This window comes from Homo sapiens, chromosome 4, assembly GCF_000001405.40.
Source record: "Homo sapiens chromosome 4, GRCh38.p14 Primary Assembly".
NCBI lineage: Eukaryota > Metazoa > Chordata > Mammalia > Primates > Hominidae > Homo > Homo sapiens.
Genome location: NC_000004.12, coordinates 110,790,611 through 110,796,948, shown reverse-complemented (window position 1 = coordinate 110,796,948; position 6,338 = coordinate 110,790,611). Strand labels below are relative to the sequence as shown.

At 36.9% G+C, this 6,338-nt stretch overlaps 1 annotated feature.

The window, feature by feature from the left end:
- Positions 2,294–2,827: an enhancer, noted in NCBI's record as "OCT4-NANOG hESC enhancer chr4:111715278-111715811 (GRCh37/hg19 assembly coordinates)". NCBI's record gives its function as "activates a minimal SCP1, AML or CMV promoter by ChIP-STARR-seq in naive H9 embryonic stem cells {active_cell/tissue: H9 hESC(naive)}" and the evidence as "EXISTENCE:reporter gene assay evidence [ECO:0000049][PMID:30033119]".

Sequence of the window (6,338 nt, the reverse complement as noted above, 5' to 3'; positions counted from 1 at the left end):
GATTCTCTTTCACTATTTGATAGCCTCAGAGCTGAAACGGCTGTTATGCACCACTCATCACCAACAGTGTCAGAAGTTGTATCAGCATCTTCAAAAAGAAAGTCAGTACAGTTTCAGTTAAAAATAGCCATATTCTAAGCTTACCTATGTTCCCTGCACTACTTTTTTTAAGTTGAAATGAAAATACCTTTGAACCTGTCTTCGACATGTTCAATAATTTCTATCAGGTGTAAAACACCTTTGTTTTATTTCCAGAATCCAGCAGCTCCCTAGCATCAGTCAAACCTAAAAAGTCTTAAGGTTTGACTTGGCTAGTATCCCAAAACGTTATTCTAGTCTCCAACAGACATTTCATTAAGAGAATATGTATCAAGTCACATTTATTTTAGTTCAGTGGCTATTTCATTTACTTAAAATCATAGTTTTCCCACTTATGTAATAAAGGGCAGCAGAAGAAAAATGCCAACACAGAATAATTATAGTTAGAATAATTATAGTTAATATAAAGATAGTTTTCTGGCATGAATTTTATATGATGCTCGTGCCTTTTCTAGATCTAATAGTGGAGGGTGGATAGGGAGATTAGACAGATACTTCTGATATGTTCTTTAGGCTATAAAAATTACATATAGGGCCACTGTGAATTGGCTTGATTTTCAAAGATCTAAAGAACAGAGGAAGAAGTGATGACGGCCTTTTGTTTATAGAAGCAAACTTCTAGTACTAAATGACTGTATAGGGGGTAGAGCAAAGTATGGTTTTAATTCTTTCCTGGATCAAACCCTCAATAAAATGACATAGCTCAATCAGCCTGCCAGCACATTCTTCTGCTCAGATAGTCCACCAAGTCTGGATCAGAGAAGGCTTTGACTCTAGACTTCTAAACAAGCTGATGTAGATGAAATGTATCAAGTGTCTTATATAAATTAACCTGATCATGATATGACTATAAGAAATCACCTAGAATATCTTTTGTTCTAATTTTTCTTTCCCACTTTCTTAGTTTTACATAGTTTATTTCAAAGAAACATGTGAGATGACTCTGTAGTTTTGCACACTGAGCACTGAACACTGAAGGGCTCTCACTTATTTGTATATCGCACAAACGTAAAATTAATTTCAACTCCTTGGGAAATTTTACATTGATTTACAAGAAATAGAGTATTATTCGGAACTGTTTATAAATTCTATTTATAATTATCCTATTGAACTAACAGACCTCAGCAAACAAATCATGCCATCATCACTGACGACTTCAAGAGTGAGCATTTCAAGTGGATTTGGATTAAGTTGTTAATGAGAACTAGGGCACAGGCTCAGTTCACTGGATTTTCACTTCTTGAGACATGGAATCATGTACTGAATAAATCAAGTGCAACTGGCTTCACCTTAGCCTCAATGACCAGCACCATAAAGTCACTGTGTGTTTAACACCATCAGCAGGCTCCAACCCTGAAGCCTAGGAGCCCCGAGTAGAAGGAGGGCTACCAGCCAGCTTTGAAGGGCATCCATATGAAAAGAATTCAGGATGCAAAGAAGGCATCAGGAGACAGAAGATCTAGTCATATTTTTGGGCCAGACTTACTGGGCCGGTTACCACCCGTCTCAACATTGTCTCTCTCAGGAGAAAGAGTCTATGGTATTTTCTGCTATTCCTACAGGGCCTTATTAGAATTTACAGATTGTAGGAAGGGCACTAATATGACACAGACAGGTAGCTTCTGTCTTCCTGACATTTATAATTCCAGAGGACTAGGCAAAAACATCAGAACTCTCTCAAAACCCCCCAAAAAAGAAAGAATGAGACAGCTCATCTAACAACCCCACCACAGTGAAATACAGTCAGGCAGCATAACTTGCTCAAGTTCTTCCTCAAAGCGGGCCCAAGTCAGAATAAAACATGGTTATCATTTAAGAACAATAATATTTGAAGGTTAAAAAAAGAAACCCTTGTACCCAACTGACTTTTCATCCACTTGACATCATTACTATGATCAAACATGCTTATTAAAAATAAATGAAATAAAATGATAAAACTTGTAAAGGGCTCAGTGCCTAGCACATAATAAGCACTCAGTAAAGGTTGGCTCTTAGGTCTTATCAGTAAGAAGATCAGAGTGAGTACTGTAATAGAAGGCTAGGGTTTTAGGCAAAGAAAGGGCATACACATTTTCAACACGTGTAAAATTAAATTATAGCACAATTGGACCAAATTGAGAACCTCCTGTAGAAGTATGGAGTCCTGAAAATACCTTTACAGCATAACAGGGACTTGTTGGGACTTTATAAGAAAGGATTAGGAACATTTGTTTATTTTTTAAAAGACTGCCCTATGGGAACCTAGAGTAAGATACGAGGCTTACAGACTTGGGCTGATCCTCCCCAAATTTGGGGGTTGTTTAATGTAAGTCATCTGGGGTTTTAAGCTGGCTATTCCGGACTATCCCCTTAACTAAAACAAGACGGCCCCCTACCTTCGCTGAGAGATCTCAGAATCCCCGAAGTCTGGCAGCCTCCACTAAGCCAGCTGCTGTTTGCAGGAGTCTGATGATCTGGGACTTCCCAGGTGTCAGAAGCAAACAATAGATCACAGCTGGCATTAATTGGCAGCACCCTGGTTGGCAGTCTCAGCAGAGAGAGGCCAAACACTGAACAGGCCACAGAGAGAGGACTCCCCTCACTCAGCTAATATTAATTGAAATGTCTTCATGGAATGCTGTTTTGCACATTGCAATGAAAACAGTTTGTTTTTAGGATTTAAACATCCCTTCGCTGTGTTTGCAATCTGAACACTACAGCATGTGTTAAAACATAAGATCCAGGGAGGCAAACTGACTATAAACAGAGTAGTTTAGGAGCTGGGGGGTGGGGAAGCTGTGTCTTTCTTTTGCAATTTTCAAGCTCAGTGAAGTGCACAGGAGTGATAATCCAGCACAAGCAAGAGAAAAGAAAGAGATATTTAAACTTCAGAAGATGATTTTTTTTTTTTTTTTTTTTTACTGGGTGTGTTGTTGGTAAGAACCCTGGAAAAGAAAAATGATTTAAATCCATGACTTTCCCCCCTGATACTGCCCTTTTAAAATCCTAGGCCACCATGCTAAATATTATCCTGGCTATCTGGGGCAATAGTCTCAATCCATCCAGTTAAAAGATACCAAGGAATGTGGTTCGCGGCCAGTAGTATAGATTAGTATGCTAATGTTGTTCTAAGGGTAGCATTGTTAAATAAGCCTGAGATATCCCTGGAATCAAACTGAGCACACTATGCCAACCCATGTGTATCATTTAGGATTATACACAGACTGTTAAGAATACAGAACAATTGCTTCACATTTCTCTGTGTTGGTGTCATCTCCCTTTCATATCTGGGAACAACACCCATATCTCGTCTTCAGCTACTGACATTTGTCATAAATTTCAACTGACCTTTTGCCAGAAGAGCTTCAGTATGATTTTCTTTTTATCTTTACACAGTCTTCAGCTTGTCATGATTCATTCCGGAAGTATTTGGGGCCCAGCACTGTGCTCAATGTTATAGGAGATGAACAAAAAGGAGGAAAATCAGTTCCTACTTGGGGAGTTGAAACACATATTTATGACATAACTAGACAATCTGGAAGACAATGACAACTTGTTGATATGAACTGAATATATCAGGGTCAAAGAGGTTAGAAATAAGGCAAAGATATTTATGCATTTGGTTTATCCATCAAAGTTTTCATGGAGAATGTAAGTTTGGAGCTCTGTTAAGAAGAAAATACAGAATTTGGATAAAGAAATGTATTCTAGATTTTTTTAAAAAGCAGAAAGGAAAAAATGATAAATAAGAAGGCCATGAGAAGAGAAACAAAAAAAGGGTACTGCCAGCTCTTTTATATAACGAAGAAGAGCTGAAGCTGTGGTTATACTGGTCCATCCCCCAAGTTTTAGACTATTCCAGATTTTATACATAGATATGTTGACACAAAACAGTTAAATAATTCTCCAAAAAGTATGAATCCAGCCAGTGCTAATAAGTCATAATAATAAAATTGAAAAGATAATAAAAGCTAGCCCTGGAGTAGTATTCACTGAAGTCCTGGTCCTGCTTGAAATGTTTGCTTAAAATGATTTAAATCTTTTCCTTTTCCTCCAGATCCTGAAGTAGGAACACTTCTCCAGTTTGTTTTTAGCACCTTTAAATCATTGTTTTCTCAGTGGGTGTAAATACCTCTTTAGTCCTCCTTACTCAGCTGTGTACCTTTCTTCATTTCCCCTCTCCTATTTTTCTCCCGCTTTTCCCTTTCCCACTCATAGTCAAAGGATGAGTGGATAATACACCCATATATTCAGAACGTTTTTTATATCTCAAAGCAATCCTGCTTCGAATTTGCCATGTAAACATAAGCCTGCTAATATCTTGGACTCAGTTTACACAACTATAACACCTAACAGTCAGCGTGCTGTGAGGAACAAATTTTATATAACAAAACATTTTACTCAATTTCAATGGACAGAATGTCATGCAAAGAATGAAATCATTACCTTAAAAATATAAGCAAGTGCCTTCGTTGCCATACACATAACTTAATGTAGGAATGCAATTTATATCTTAGATTGAAAAAAAAGTCCCATTTAACTTCCAGGACAAAAGAAACTTTGTTCACTTCTTATCCCAAGAAAAACTATATTATTTAGGACAACCCATTGTCTAGCCAATCATTCCCCTGTGATAATCCTTCCCACCTACTGAGTATCAGTCACAAGGGTGAGGGAATTTAAGAAGAGTTTTAAAGTTAGGAGTGCTAATGCAAATTATACTAATAAATTTAAATGCAATCTCTGGAGAATCAACTTACCATTATAAATAGTTGATTCATTTATCACAGTTACAATATCTAGTGGTAGAAATAAACTCACACATCACTCTCTATTAAGGTGCTTAGAACCTATCAATCCAGTTGTTTACAAATGGGATTCATAAGGAAAGGATTCATTTATTACACTTGGAAAATGTTTTGTAATCTCTTGAAGAAAAGACAGACATGCAAAGATTCTACATTTTCATAGGTAACATGTTCTCCTGGATTTAAATACTGCAATGAGAAAATAGGAAAGCCCGAATTTGTTTTCACTCTATCTACAACCCTGATAAGCTACTAATGTGAACTTGAACAGGTTCTTAAGCATTCAGAGCTCATTACTTATGACCTAATAAACAAAAAGGTGTGAAAACCAGAGTAAAAATTAAAGCTTCAAGTCAACCTGAGAGATTTTGCTCTGGAATAGATCAGATTAAGGCAAGCTCTCACCAAACAAAGATAATGCAGAAAGAAAATCATACAATTATAGAATTTTAAAGCCAGAAACAACCTCAAAGCACATAGATTCCCCCCTGCTCATTGTGCAGATGATGGACATGAAATCTGGAAAGAATAAATAAGGCACCTAAGGCCTTGCAGCTAAGTTGTGCAGCCATGAAAAGAACCTGGGAACTGAAACACATGAGTACGTGCACACACACACACACACACACACACATGTTTAGAAAGAATAATTTCATATATAATAGTTGTGCAACAAGAAAGTTACTGGCAAAAAAAAATAAACTATATTGAAGCCTTTTTTGCTCTTGATTTCTCTTTTCTAAATGTGTTACTGCAAAAGTGGTTCCAGACCCAAGGCAAGACAAATAAGGCTTGTACCAAATGGTATGTGTGTCCCCTGCACTCATGCTGGTTATGAAGAAGCAAAAGAAAAGATTAAAGACAGAAGCTAAAAAAGAAAAAAGAAAATCATCACTACTAATACAGTCACCCAGCCCACAGGCAAAATCATATCAACAGGACTTTCCTGTATTGTAGATTAAATGTATTCCCTAATGTACTAGTTTTATCTGGTAAAAATTAATAGTTAGATGATAGACATGAAATAAGCAACACCTATACTTGTTGCAATTATTCAATATGTTGCTGCTATAATTTATATTTCCATACTCTCCTTCATAATTAATATTATCTGTATTTTGAGCTCTTAGTAAAGAAAAGATTCTGGGCCAGCCTAAAGCTCTATATTTATCTGGAAACACTGGCACTTCCCTATCAGTCCACCATGTTTGCTAGTCTCTTATGTCCTAAAATAAGCAATCTCCCTATTCTTTTTGCCTCTTTCTCCTCTTCTATCTTTTCCTAACCAATCCCTTAGAGAAGTAATCTAGATTCGCAATCTCCACTTTTTCTTGTTTATTCTTCCACCTCCTGCAGTGTCACTTTCACGTCACTCTTCAATAGCTGTCTATTGAATCTGTTTCACAATAATCCCCGGATCACCAAATCCAAAGGCCTCTTCTCAATTCTTAT